General features: G+C 44.7%; 1 protein-coding gene across 3 annotated transcripts; it reads left to right on the plus strand.

Annotated features, from left to right (window-relative positions):
* The first annotated feature begins 1,187 nt into the window (after positions 1-1,187).
* ZNF549 (zinc finger protein 549) lies at positions 1,188-14,708 on the plus strand. Of its 3 annotated transcripts, NM_001199295.2 has the most exons (4): positions 1,188-1,438; positions 4,902-4,940; positions 8,976-9,102; positions 11,036-14,708. In NM_001199295.2, exons 1-4 carry the CDS (start codon positions 1,406-1,408, stop codon positions 12,757-12,759), a joined length of 1,923 nt encoding a protein of 640 aa, NP_001186224.2. In that variant the 5' UTR covers positions 1,188-1,405; the 3' UTR covers positions 12,760-14,708. The 3 variants fall into 3 exon arrangements, with proteins under 3 accessions (NP_001186224.2, NP_694995.3, XP_047294519.1); NM_153263.3 differs by lacking the exon at positions 4,902-4,940; XM_047438563.1 differs by lacking the exon at positions 1,188-1,438 and having other exon boundaries at positions 1,442-4,940.
* Positions 14,709-15,063: the final 355 nt, after the last annotated feature.

The following is a 15,063-nucleotide window of genomic DNA, read 5'->3' on the forward strand; positions in this document are numbered from 1 at the left end:
ATTTTTCTAACCTTTCTTAAGTAATTATAAAATGTCAAAATTATAAACAATTAAAAACTAAAGAGAAATGAAGACAATGGATAGCAACAAAAGCTAATTGCTAAATATGGGGGAAAAAAGCCAGGCATGGTGGCTCATGCTTGTAATCCCAGCACTTTAAGGCAGGCGAATCACTTGAGGCCGGTTCTAGACCAGCCTGGCCAACATGGTGAAACCCTGTCTCTACTAAAAATACAAAAATTATCCGGGGGTGGTGGCGCATGCCTGTAGTCCCGGCTACTCGGGAGGCTGAGGCAGGAGAATCGCTTGAACCTGGGAGGTGGAGGTTACAGTGAGCAGAGATTGCACCACTGTACTCCAGTCTGGGCGACAGAGTGAGACTCTGTCAAAAAAAAAAAAGGAAAAAAAGAAAAGAAAAAGAAGATATAATGTTTCTGCAATCTCATTTCAGTTCCACTTATGATAATAGATACATTATGTAATTTAAGTCACTAACACTTGAGGGCAAAAAAACAGAATAAACACAAACGTGTGGGATAAGGGGATGCTGACCCCACTGTTAGTGATCACCTTGGTTGGAGACCCAGGTTTTATCATACAGATGAAGCCTGCAGGTAGCAAGTTTCAGAGAAATAGATTGTAAATGTTTCTTATCAGACTTAAGGTCTATGCTGATGTTATTGCTGTAGGGGTAGAATGAGGCATGTCCAACCCCTTCTTCCATAATGGCCTGAACTAGATTTTCAGGTTAACTCTATAATGCTGAGAGGAGGGGGTCCATTCAGATAGTTGGGAGGCCTTTGAATTTTATTTTTGGTTATAGTTTCTACATTAAAAAAAAGAAAAAAATTAAGGGTCGCGTCAATTCTCAATTGTCAACATTTTTAATGTATTGTATGCAATATATGTCAACTTTTGTGTTGAGAAATGAAGATCAAATCGTATTCTTTTATCCTGTGTATGTAATAGGCTTTGCTGACCCTAGTTTGATGGGTTTTTTCCTTTGTCCTCTCTTTCTTGGATTGAGTCCTCACAGCGCGGCGGACTGCGGCGTGGTAGGAACTACACCACCCAGAATACTGTGCGCCGAGCGTGCCGGGGCCTTAGACCAATCATTGCCCAGGAAAGGGGCACCTCCGTAAGTGCGCAATACGCCAGAATCTTCCGGCGTCTTTCCGGTGGTGGTCGTTTTTGCTGCCTGCGAGCGCGTCCGCGGGCTGGGCGTTTCCGGCTCGCTGGGTCCGGGCCAGGTAACTGGAGCCGGAAACCGGTGGAGGTGGTGTCCGCCCGCAGAGGAGCTTGCCTGGTCTCGGTCTGAGCGTCGCCCAGCGATTTGCCACCGCACGCACGCCGGATCCCGGGCTTTACCGCCCGCCTTTCCAGGCCCCGCCCCGCCTAAAGTCCCATGGCCGAGGCAGCGCTAGTGATTACGCCGCAGGTGAGAGCGGAGTCCTCGGATCCTCACCTGGGTCCTGAGGCCCCGGACTGGGGTCACCTGCGTGGGTCTCTGCAGTTCAGGCCTCTTCTCCAGGACAGCGAGGAGTTCTGGGTGGGGTCCTCAGAGCTGACGGGCGGTGAGGTGAAGAAGGGAGAGCGTTGCGTACCGTGGGGGCTGCACGCGCAGAGCCTGGGAGGTGCGCCGGGGTCGCGAGCATTCGGAAACTTGGGGGCGGACCTGTGTCTGCAGGGAGCAGAGAGAATGAGGAGAAGAAGGCACGGCTGCCATGGCAGCCTGAGCAACCGGGGTTTTTAATTCTGAGTCTTTGGGAGCCATGGAGGGTTGTGAACTAAAGGAGAACACGATCTGAGTGAGGGTCTGAAAAAATATTTCAAAGGCAATGAGTGGAGAAAACAGACTGTTACGGAGTGATGGGGGTGGACGCAGGGATACTGGTGAGGAGACTGCTGTAGTAGGCTCCAGGAGGATTATGGTGGATTCTGGACCAGACGGGTTGCTGAAGGGACCTAAGTAATAAGAATCTTGGTAGATCTTAAAGGTAAAGCCAGCAGGATTTTCTGCTCCATCATTTGTGCCTATGAGCAAAAGTGGGAGTGAAGTATGATCCCAAGTTTTTCTTTTACCTGAACATCTGGAAGAGTTGACAAAGAAATCTGGTGAGGGAGCAGGTTTCAGGGAAATAGTAGGAGTTGAATTTTGGACGTGGTGTTTCTAAATTGCCACAGAGTGAAGTTGTTACATGGGCAGTTGGAATCATAAGTAGAAAATTCATGGGAGGGGACTGACTCAGTGATGTGTAAATGGAGACAGGCTGGGGCGTAGACTCAAGCCAAGCCTTAAATTTAGACGGGAAATCTTAAGGTTTTACTTTGAGATGAAGAGAGGGAGGGCTGAGGCTGGAGGCTGGGAAAGTGTGGGTCGGCCTTGGCGAAGCTGCCTGCAGATAGGAGGGCCATGGGGTTCCGGGGGTACTTCCAAAGGGAATGTGTAAGGAATACACACTGCATAGGATGGATTTGAGGGTGGGACACTGTGTAGAGTCACCATTCAGAAGACTTGGCGAACTGTTCACTCTATGTGGAGCCAGAGAAAGGTCAGCCAGACTAGCAGAGAAGCCCAAGCCCAGCAAGAGCAGCTCTCCCAGGAAAATACAAGTTTAGACTGTATAGATTTAACAAATTAAATTTATGCAAGCAATTAGTTAACCGAATAAAATGTCACTATAACTCTGTGCTCTAATAAAAAATAAATGTTTGTTTTTTGTCATGCTTTCCTGGCACAGAATTCCTAAAATCGTTGTAATTTCCTCAGTGAAAAGTGTCTTGTGATAAGTCATGGACCGCATAACAACAGTGTTGACCACATCAGTGACGGTGGTCCCATAAGATTATGATACCATATTTTTACTGTACCTTTTCATTTTCTTTCTTTCTGATCAGGAGGCAAACTGCATTTTCTAAGTTTATAAATGTTTAAATGCACAAATAATTATCACTGTGTTACAGTTGCTGACAGTATTTAGTATAGTAACTTGCTGTACAGGTTTGTAGCCTAGGAGCAATAGGCTATACCATTTAGTAGTTGAACAATGAATGTCTGAACAGTAGTTCCCCCTTATCCTCAGAGGATACCTTTCAAGAACCCCAGCGGAGGCTTGAAACTGCAGATAGTACCCAACCTATATATACTATGTTTCTTCCTAGACTACATACCTGTAATAAAATCCAGTTTATAAATGAGGCAGTATAGGAGATGAACAATAATAACTGGAAATAATATAGAACAGTTATACTTTATAAGTTAATAAAAGTTAAGTAACTGCAGTTGAGACAATAAAAAAGCAAAAGTTAAATTATAAAAAACATGTGAATGTGGTATCTCTCTAAATATCTTACTGTACTATTCACCCTTGTGATGAAGAAGGGACTAAACTCGATAGAGTGAGATTTCCTCACACTACTTACAATGGTGCACTGTTGGCCAGCGCAGTGGCTCACACCTGTAATCCCAGCACTTTGGGAGGCTGAGGCAGGCAGATCACAAGGTCAGGAGATCGAGACCATCCTGGCTAACATGGTGAAACCCCGTCTCTACTAAAAATACAAAAAATTAGCCAGGTGTGGTAGTGGGCGCCCGTAGTCCCAGCTACTCCGGAGGCTGAGGCAGGAGAATGGTGTGAAGCTGGGAGGCAGAGCTTGCAGTGAGCCGAGATTGCACCACTACACTCCAGCCTGGGCGACAGAGCGAGGCTCCGTCTCCAAAAATAAATAAATAAAATAAATAAATAAATAAATAAATAAAGGATGGTGCACTATTTAAAACATGAATTGTTTATTTCTGGAATTTTAATATTACTATTTTCAGACTGAAGTTGAAATTTAATACTTATAATTTTCACACTGAAGTTGAGTGTGGGTAACTGAAACTGCAAATAGCAAAACAGCTGATAAGGGAAGACTTCTATACTTGAGTTTTATGAGATGGCTTAGGGTGAGCAGACAAGGTGGAGTCTCTAGATAGCCTCAGAGTGGAGTCAGTCACCAGAAAAATCAAGTGATTATAGAATTTGAACTTTGAGCCCCACCTCTGGCATCCAGGGAGGGGAGCAGAGATCTGGAGATTAGGTTATATAAAATCTTGAACAATGAGTTCTAGAAGCTTCAAGGTTGTGAACACTTGGAAGTGCTGGGAGAGTGACGTAAGAGAGCGTGGAAGTACTCTGCCTTACCCCCTCTCCCAGTACCTTGCCATATGCATCGCTTCCATTTGGCTGTTCCTGAGTTACATCCATTATCATAAACTGGTAAACATAAGTAAAATATTTTCCTGAGTTCTGTAAGTGGTTCTAGCAAATTATTGAACGTAAGGAGAGAGGTCATGGCAGCCCCCAAATGTGTAGCCAAGTGGAGAAAATTACAGTGGTCTGGACATTGGCTTGCAATTGCCATATGAAGTGAGGGCAGTTTTGTACGACTGAGCCCTTAAACCTGTTGGTTTAGCTGCAACTCCAGGTAGTTAGTGTTAGAATAGGATTGAATTGTAGGACACCTAGTTGGTATCAGAATCAGAGAATGGTGTGGGAAAAGACACTACATATTTATTATCAAAGAAGCACAGAAGCCTCTCATAATTTGAAAAGATACCACATTCACATAAAGACTTAAATGGCAAGTAAGAAACACCAGAGTTTTAAAAAATGTTTACAGAAATCTTAATGCAATAGTCAGTACTAGCTAAATCTTAGCATTGGACACGTATGAATGAGTTTGATGCCTACGATGGCACTACGAGATAGCCACCATTAAGTGTTTCCATTTTACAGATGAAGGCAACCTCAGAGAGGTTAGGTCTTTGTCTAGTGTCACACAGTTGGCAAGAGCAACTTACCCTTTGTAAATGCCACCTTGAACACCTGTATTTCATAGCCTCCCTCTTCCTACAGATTCCCATGGTAACAGAAGAGTTTGTGAAACCATCACAGGTAAGTGGAAGAAGTCCCAGGTCTTCACTGGCCCTGTTCCCTAAAGCCATGGGTCTGGCCCACAGATGCAGGTAACAATAATGTCCTGGGACTCTTTTTCCTTCATCTTGGGTCCCTGGGGCCACCTCAGGCCCAGGATGATTAATCAGGGTCAGGAGTTATACAGAGATGTTCCCATTTCTGCATCCAATAGGATGAAGTGATGAAAGGTTTCCTGGGCATAGGCGCCAGCATGTCCAAATGCTTAGAGATGAGAATGATATGGGCATATATAGGGAACTGCAAGTCTGTGCACTGTGGCCAAAACTTTTGCAGTTTGAGCTGTGACAGAACTAACATGAGTTTCTTTTTCCTTCTTTACAATCTCACAGATACATGATTTGTCCTTTTCGTAGATCTTAGCAAACTCAGAGTACAATATTTTTTTTCTTGTTAAGAACTCTCACCTTTTCACTTAAAGGAAGTACTTCACAGGTTGTCTTTTACATATCTGAATGGCTGGTATTATCGCTCTTGTGCTTTGGGGGTATTAAGTAAAATAAGCGTTACTTGAACACAAGCACTGTGATAATGAGACAGTTGATATGATAACCAAGATGGCCACATAGTGATTAACAGGCAGGTAGTGTATTCATCATGGATCTATTGGACAAACGGATGATTCACGTCTTGGGCAGAACAGCGTGGGACAGTGTAAGATTTTATCACACTACTCAGAGAAGCACGTCATTTATAATTTTTGGGTTGTTTATTTCTGGAATTATCCATGTAATATTTTCAGACCACAGTTAACCAGTAGTAAGTGAAACCATGGAAAACAAAATTGTGGCTAAGATCGGGGACGACTGTATATGTATTCAGTGCTATACATTTTATTCTAAGCACCGCTTCGACTGCATCTCACAAATTCTAAGTTGTGTTTTCATTTCATTTAGTTCAAAATATTTTTAAATTTATCTTGAGTATTTCTTCTTTGTTCCATGCGTTGTCTTGTTTACATCTCCCAGGTATTTTGGGATTTGCCAGCTCTCTTTCCATTACTGCTTTCTAGTTGAATTCCATTGTGATTGCAGAGCAGACCTTGTATTATTTCTAGTAAATTTATTAAGATGTGTTTTATAACTGTGTATTGTAAACTGGGGAGTAAATGCCCTTCGTGGGGTCTCTAGGATCATTCCAACACTGCCGTGGAAATGAAACTCTGAGAAGCATAAAGGATTTATTATATTCATAGGTCCTCATAGAGGGTGGCACAGCAAACCATGCATGGAGCCATATGGAAATAGCTCTCAGGGAGTGGACTCAACCAAGCAGGCAGGGAGCCAAGAGGGAGAGCAAGGACCTGTGGGCAGGTGCCTTTCCTACTGTGTTTGAATGTCATTCAGTCACAGTCAAAGGATGAAAAGAAGGGGAGGTTGTGACAGGGACCAGTCTTAGCATGCTGGGGACCTGGTCACCGGGGTGGGTTGCTCATAATGTATTGGGGATGTTGAAGCATCAGGAAAATAGGAAGTTTTAAAGATATATAAAACAGGCCCAGAATGTGGTCTGTCTTGTTGAATATTCCGTGTGAGCTTGAGAACAGCATGTATTCTGTTCTTGTTGGACAAAGTAATCTAAAGATGGTGATTATGTCCAGTTGATTGATGGTGTTGTTGAATTCAGTTAAGTTTAGTGGTTTTCTGCCTACTGTATCTGTCAGTAACAGAAAAGAGTGTGGAAGACTTCAATTATGATGGTGGATTGATCTGTTTCTCCTTGAAGATCTGTCAGTTTTTGCCTCATATAGTTTGATGCTCTGTGGTCAGGCATGTATGTGCTAAGGATTCTTGTATCTTTTTGGAAACTGCCTCAACCTCCCGAGTGGCTGGGATTACAGGCGCCCGCCACCACGCCCAACTAATTTTTGTATTTTTAGTAGAGACAGGGTTTCTGCACATTGGCCAGGCTGATCTCGAACTCCTGACCTCAGGTGATCCACCCGCCTTGGCCTCCCAAAGTGCCTGTGATGTTTTCTTGATAGCTACACATGATGAGCTCAGTAAAAGGAATTGCTGTAAATAGGCCTTTAATAATGTGGTGGTGAGGTGTGTCAGCGGGCAGGGGAAGCATTTTAAGTCCCACAGTTAGGTCTCAGTGTTTTAGTGAGCCTGTTCCTCTTGACTGAAATTCACATGTGTTTCTAAATTGTGTTTATTATGCTTTTTCTCTCCCATTATGTGGAAGAGGAATACTAGAGTGGGTTGTAGTTGGTTATTTCCCTTCCCCCAGATAGATTAGGCTCTGATAATACCTCTGCAGGTTAGGCTCTGATTAACTGTTGTCTCCCAAGGGCAGGCTTTGTTTAGAGGAACACATTGCTATGGCATATTTTAAAATGATTCATTTTCCCCTCTCTGCTGGAAGCACAAGGGGATTTTTTTTTTTCCAGTATTCACCATGAGAACTTGGTTAAGTTTCTGGAGGTAAATATTGCAAGATTGTGGGGGCCCCCTATCAGAGTGCCTCCTGAATTTTCAGCTCACAGAATTGTCCACACAGACCTTCCAGCAATTTATGCATTATAGATTGGGTTTTCCTAACCTAGCACTGGTTTGCATGATGGTTTCCTTTCATGAGTTTCTGCTCCTGTGAGCCTTGATTCTCCTGTATGCCCTCGTTTGTCTCTCCAATCTTGTGGGCAGCAGTGTGTGCTGTGCCCTTATCTTTCCTGTGTGGATCCTAGAATTGTCCATTTTTCAGTCTGTTTAACTCTTTACTTGCTATTGTGATAGAGTGGCCACTTCCAAGCTCCTTACATGCAGAATAGAAACCAAAGTCCAGGAGTTAGGCCTTCACAATGTGGAGTCTCATGTTGGGACTTCTTGGTGGTGGTGTTAGGTGCACAGCAAGAGACAGACACGTGGAGTTCAGGGAAGGGATCCAAGTGAAAGCTATCCGTCAGCCAGTGGCTGGCCTGTGGACCATGGCAGATTTAAGAGGAACACTCTTCAGGTCATAGTGGCAGTCCCATCAGTGAGGAAGGATGTAGAGAGTATTCTCTAATGACTGGGTCTCTTGCATGGTCACCTAGATAGAAGTGGGAACCATCACTAAGACAGATAAAGAAGAGTAGTAACCATGGGTGTGTGGGGGTAGGATGAAACGGGTGTCCAGCTGTTGGCACAGTCTTTAAATGGGGAATGTTAAGAGATTCATTCAGAGGCAAAGCAGTAATGGAGGTCAAATAACACCAAGGTCAGGGCTGGTGCTTTTCCTCCCTTTTGCTGGCTCAGACTTTTGTTGGTAACTCTTGGTAGGGCCTAAGTAGTTTCAGACGGTGTGACAGATTAGGTTAAAAGCAAATGAGATTGACTGGGAGAGTCATTCAGCCTGTGGTGGGAGCAGCTGGGGGCCAAGCTTTGACTGAGTATAGGTGGAGAGAGGAAAGATATGACTGGTGTGGGGACAGCACAGGCAACACTAAGGAGGAAGTGGACTTTGGCAGCCTGAGCTCACACAAGGTCTGAGTGGCTGAAATTGGAACAAAGAGCCAGGCCACATGGGGACGTCTTCATAACAGTCCTGAGACTGCCTCTGACTTGGGTCTAACAAAGATGTGAGGTGGTGCTGGATCCTTGTTGCATTTAGCAAGCGCTGCCTGGATCCCTTGAGCAGAGTGGCATGTGGAGAAGCCAGGTGAAGTACCTGTGTCATGGATGCTGAGGGCAGTGGAGTTCAAGGTGTAGCAGTCACGATCTGGAGATGTGTTCCCATGAATGGTGTGCAACCGGGGAGGGAGTATGGCTGTACTCAGGATCCTCGTACTGGCACTTTAAACCAAGATGGTAAGCACAGGTTTCAGTATCTGGGTCTCCAGGGAGGTGAACTAGCAGGAGCATGGATGAGATTCCATGATGTAAGGCCCAGAGCCCAGTGGGAGACACCATAAGGACCTGGTATCTCCTCTGAGTTGGAGAACTAGGGAGGAGCGAGATTTACTGGGGTTCCTGGGGATTGAGTCTGCTCATGATTTCATCTGCCCCCATCATGCAGGGCCATGTGACCTTTGAGGATATTGCTGTGTACTTCTCCCAGGAGGAGTGGGGCCTCCTTGATGAAGCTCAAAGGTGCCTGTATCATGATGTGATGCTGGAGAACTTTTCGCTTATGGCCTCAGTAGGTAAGATCTCTTAAAACCACACCATCAACCTCTGCTGGACTCTGCTCTTCCCCTTTTTCCAGGAGTTTCCTGTCTTTCCCAGAGTTGGACATGGGCCCTTCTTCTTTCCTTGGTTCTTGACCTGTGGAAGACATAGGCGTTGTGGTTGCCAGGCCTGGGTTTTTTCTGCCCCAACATCTACTGTCCTGAAGCCTTTTAGTTAAGAGTTTGGGTTCAGACTCTTGTAACTTGCCCAACCGACACCACTTGGTTTTGCCACTCCTTGCTAAGGTGACTGTTCAGTTCTGTGGTGGACCTGTGTTACAGGTTCTCCCCCTGCCTTTAGTAGACGTGTCTTTGGACCTGCCTTTCTCAGGAATTACAGGTACTTACATGGTTGCTATTTGTAGGGAACCCTAGACTATGACAGCAAGACCCCCTCCCAAGGGTTTTTTTGTAATAAATTTCCCTCCTGTAGTCTGTCATGGGTTGGCGCACCCTGGGCCAGTGTTGTTGACCCACCTCCCTGTTTTTCCCTTAGGATTTCTTCTACCTTCCAGGACCCAGATAGTCTCCTGACTTAAGCTGGGGACAGGGGAGAGGCCTGTGTTCCTGAAAGCGTAGTGAAGTCTTCAGCCACAGCAAGGGGGGTTAACAGGGTTTGGGACCTGTGAGTAGGAGCAGTGGGAGGGCATGATTTGAGGGCTGAACTCAAATCATACCAGGCAAATGTCCTATGTTCCCCACTATTTTGGTGCCAGGGCTCATGGCCATACCTCATTTTTCTCTTTTCTCTGCCTGCTTGACAATTTGCCTACTTGTCGTTTCTACTGTGATTGTCCCCTACCTCTGTTCTCCACATCTCTCCTGTTCCTGTTCTGCAGTGTTCTCCAACATTAGCCTATACCTAATGTATTTAATATTATGAGCTGTGCAGATACAGATGTTCCTCAGCTCGTGATGGGGTTATATCCTGATAAACCCATTGTAAGTTGAGAATATCGTAAGTCAGAAATGCATTTAATACACCCAACTTATTAGACATCCTAGCTTAGCAACACAGTAGAGTGTCAGTTGTTTAGCCTGGTGATTGCATGGCTTACTGAGAGCTGCAGCTTGCTACCACTGCATCACAAGAGTATACACACTGCGTATCACTAGCCTGGGAAAAGTTCAAAATTCAAAGTATGGTTTCTACTGAATGTGTCACTTTCGTATCATCATAAAGTGGAAAAATCATAAGTTCAACCATTATAAATCAAAGACTGTCTACTTAAGCTCTCAAACATCAGCTATCCAGTTGTAATTGCATTTTCCTGGGGTGACACACATTCTATGCAGGTCTCCCCTGTCTCCATCAGATGACGTCCTATTGAAAACCATTGACAGAGAAGGGAGTTGTATGCCCCCTGCCTCTCTTCCCACCATAGTACCCCATTCCTTGTTCTCTTGCTGGTTATGGGTCTTCCCCTACATGGTAACCTTAAGAGGCCTAATACTGCAAGTATTATCTTCCTTGACCTGACTCCAGCTCCCTTGTCCTGAAAACAAACCCATGGCCTGGGTGCAATGGCTCGTGCCTATAATCCTAGCACTTGGGGAAGCTGAGGTGGGAGGATCACTTGAGCTAAGGAATTTGAGACCAGCCTCGACAACATAATGAGACCTGTATCTCCACAAGAAATTCTAAAAAAAAATTAGCCAGGTATGGTGGTATATGCCTGTAGTCCTAGCTACTTGGGAGGCTGAGATGGGAGTGTCACTGGAGCTTGGAAGGTCAAGGCTGCAGTGAGATATGACTGCAACTGCACTCCCATCTGGGTGACAGAGCAAGACCCTATCTCAAAGAAAAACCATGGACTCGTCCCTCCCTGTGTTCCACAGGTATTTGTAATGGAGCTGTTCCCTTCTACCAAAGTCTGCATATACTTCACTTGCATTTTTATGCTTTTAGGTTGTTTGCATGGAATAGAGGCTGAGGAGGCCCCTTCTGAGCAGACTCTTTCTGCGCAAGGAGTGTCACAGGCCAGGACTCCAAAGCTAGGTCCTTCCATCCCAAATGCTCATTCTTGTGAGATGTGTATCCTGGTCATGAAAGACATTTTGTACCTCAGTGAGCATCAGGGGACACTTCCCTGGCAGAAACCTTATACGTCTGTGGCCAGTGGGAAATGGTTTTCATTTGGTTCTAACCTGCAACAGCACCAGAACCAGGACAGTGGAGAGAAACACATCAGAAAGGAGGAGAGCAGTGCCTTGCTTCTGAATAGCTGCAAAATTCCTCTGTCAGACAATCTTTTCCCATGCAAAGATGTTGAGAAGGATTTTCCAACCATCCTGGGCCTTCTCCAACACCAGACCACCCACAGCAGACAAGAGTATGCACATAGAAGCAGGGAGACCTTTCAACAAAGACGTTACAAATGTGAGCAAGTTTTCAATGAGAAAGTTCATGTTACTGAGCATCAGAGAGTCCACACTGGAGAAAAAGCTTATAAGCGTAGGGAATATGGGAAATCCTTGAACTCTAAATACTTATTTGTTGAACACCAGAGAACCCATAATGCAGAAAAGCCTTATGTGTGCAATATATGTGGGAAATCATTCCTCCATAAACAAACACTCGTTGGGCACCAGCAGAGAATTCACACTAGAGAAAGGTCTTATGTGTGCATCGAATGTGGGAAATCCTTGAGCTCCAAATACTCACTTGTGGAACACCAGAGAACCCATAATGGAGAAAAGCCTTATGTGTGCAATGTATGTGGGAAATCATTCCGCCACAAACAAACATTTGTTGGCCATCAGCAGAGAATCCACACTGGAGAGAGGCCTTATGTGTGTATGGAATGTGGGAAATCTTTTATTCATTCCTATGACCGCATTCGACACCAGAGAGTTCACACTGGAGAAGGGGCTTATCAGTGCAGTGAATGTGGGAAATCCTTCATATACAAACAGTCACTTCTTGATCACCATAGAATCCACACGGGAGAAAGGCCTTATGAGTGCAAAGAATGTGGGAAGGCCTTCATTCACAAAAAAAGACTTCTTGAGCACCAGAGAATTCATACTGGAGAAAAGCCTTATGTGTGCATCATATGTGGGAAATCATTTATCCGCTCGTCTGACTACATGCGACACCAGAGAATTCACACTGGAGAAAGGGCTTATGAATGCAGTGACTGTGGGAAAGCCTTCATCTCCAAACAAACACTTCTTAAGCATCACAAAATCCACACTAGAGAAAGGCCTTATGAATGCAGTGAATGTGGAAAAGGCTTCTACCTTGAGGTTAAACTTCTTCAGCACCAAAGAATCCATACTAGAGAACAACTTTGTGAGTGCAATGAATGTGGAAAAGTCTTCAGCCACCAAAAAAGACTTCTTGAGCACCAGAAAGTTCACACTGGCGAAAAGCCCTGTGAGTGCAGTGAATGTGGGAAATGCTTTAGACACCGCACCAGCCTCATTCAACACCAGAAAGTTCACAGTGGAGAGAGGCCTTATAACTGCACTGCATGTGAGAAGGCCTTTATCTATAAAAACAAACTTGTTGAGCATCAGCGAATCCACACCGGAGAAAAGCCGTATGAATGTGGTAAATGTGGGAAAGCCTTCAACAAAAGATATTCCCTTGTCAGGCACCAGAAGGTACATATAACAGAAGAGCCCTAGCAATTGTTGGGATGTGTAATTGTCTTATTCACTGTAGGACACCAGAGAGCTGATTTTTCAAGGGATCCAACAGACAGAAATTCACCCTCATACATCTGCATATCACTAGTTGAAAGATTCACTACAAGGTCCAAGTACTTGGGAAGCTTTCTAGAGATTACTTGTACTTTCTAATCTGCCCAGTGTTACAACAGACACTACCATGTGGCATATCCTCACCGTTTTCATCAGTCACTCACATGTGCTCAAGGAATGCAGACCACTGTGCTTACCAAATTCTGAAGGGAATAATATAATAAAAGCCTGTTGAGGGTCCTCTTCCATCTTGCTGAACTGTTCGAGGCAAAGACAAAACCCAACTTTGACCAAGAAGAGCAATCTGGATTCTTGTAGCCCATGGAGGTTTACCTTCTTCATAGGTTTTTTTTTTTTTTATGTGATTGCCATAGTGGGATATTCCCTCTCCCACATTACCCAAGAGGGAAATGGGCTGTCTTACCATGTGCTGATGTATGTGCTCTGCCAGTGTGAAGGGTGAACAGCTCCAACTTTATGTCCCCCCAGGGACATAGTATGAGATCGGAAAATAGTTCTTAGTCCTGTTTGTCTTAATTTTTATTGGTTTCCAAGGTCTCCTAGGAAGGAGAGCAGAGCTGTGTGGTCCTAATCATGGTGTCGATGCCAGATTTATTTGTAGGTCCAGAGGTCTCCCTGAGAAGAGGCATTTGTGACAAACTCAAGTGCTGGGACCTGCATGAATTGTTTATTTGCAGTGATGCTTCATATTTCCCAGCACTGTTCATGGTATCTTATTTCCCAGGTCCTTCATTGTAGCCATGGGCACTGAAGGACTGAATTGGTAGGTAGGTCACTGGTTGTAAGACCTACTGGGGCCAGGTAAGAACAGTAATTGGCCCAGACAGGTAGGTGTGATAAACAGAGTAGAAAAGATTGTGGCCAAGAAGAGTGAATGTGTCCCATCCAAAGGTGCATCCAGATATGTCTGTGTTACTATGGCTTCATGGTTTGGGGGTATATAGAAATTCTCAGGACCTCAGACCTTTGATTCTCCTTTAGCAACACACATCGTCAGCATAAGGCATCTAAAGATTTTGTGGACTCATAACTTATGTACTGTTTTTGAGATGATTGCTGCACGGGCAGGAAAGCAGGATTTGAGAGAACATACACCTTGCCTTCCAGATATGTGGTTTTTGTGATTCACCCAGATCTGTTGTGCCAGTTAGGAATTATCTTTATTACTTCCCGTTTATTGCCACTGCTGAGAAGGCTGTCCTTCCTAACTTGTGAGGAGATGAATCCTTAATAATAAGTAAATCTTGTGTTATCCTATAGTCTGGTTTTCCAAAAGGAGAGGTAGATGCATATTTTTGTGTGGAACCATTTATCTTAAAACATTGAGGTGCAGTTTTCATACACAAAACCTTCTATCTTTTTAAGAACTGTCTGTATGGTTTATTGCCCAGTTAATGGGTTTTGATAGTCATGTTATCTCAGTAAGTGTCTTGTCTTAGAAATATGTGTGTATAGGCTGGGTGCGGTGGCTCATGCCTGTAATCCCAGCACTTTGGGAGGCCAAGGCAGGTGGATCACCTGAGGTCAGGAGTTTGAGACCAGCCTGACCAACATGGTGAAATCCAGTCTCTACTTAAAATACAAAAATTAGCCAGGCGTGGTGGCGTGCATTTGTAATCCCAGCTACACAGGAGGCTGAGGCAGGAGAATTGCTTGAACCTGGGGGGCGGAGGTTGCAATGAGCCAAGGTCGCGCCATTGCACTCCAGCCTGGGCGACAGAGTGACACTTCTCAAAAAACAAAAACAAAAACAAAAAGAACAGATAAGAAATACGTGTGTATATATTCTATTTTGTGTGTTTTCATTCACCTTATTTCATTCAGTCTTCCAAATGAAATGTTCTTAATTTTGATGAAGTCTAATTTGTCTGTTTGTTCATTTACTGTTATTTTGGTGCTATTAAAAAAATTTTATTCCTTGGCTGGGCACGGTGGCTCACGCCCATAATCCCAGCACTTTGGGAAGCCAAGGTGGGCCGGATCACCTGAGGTCAGGAGTTTGAGACCAGCCTGGCCAACATGGCAAAACCCCATTCTACTAAAAATACAAAAATTAGCTGGGCATGGTGGTGGGCGCCTGTAGTCCTAGCTAGCTACTTGGGAGGCCTAGGTGGGAGGACTGCTTGAACCCAGGAGGCGGAGGCTGCAGTGAGCCAAGATTGCGCCACTACACTCCAGCCTGGGCGACAGAGCAGGACTCCCATCTCG

This window comes from Homo sapiens, chromosome 19 (assembly GCF_000001405.40).
Source record: "Homo sapiens chromosome 19, GRCh38.p14 Primary Assembly".
Lineage (NCBI taxonomy): Eukaryota > Metazoa > Chordata > Mammalia > Primates > Hominidae > Homo > Homo sapiens.

Coding starts and splice junctions, on each gene's coding strand:
- ZNF549 (XM_047438563.1), top strand. CDS start 4,782: ATGAAGGCAACCTCAGAGAGGTTAGGTCTTTGTCTAGTGTCACACAGT. Junction 4,941..8,975: donor AGTTTGTGAAACCATCACAG/GTAAGTGGAAGA, acceptor CCCATCATGCAG/GGCCATGTGACCTTTGAGGA. Junction 9,103..11,035: donor TTCGCTTATGGCCTCAGTAG/GTAAGATCTCTT, acceptor TTATGCTTTTAG/GTTGTTTGCATGGAATAGAG.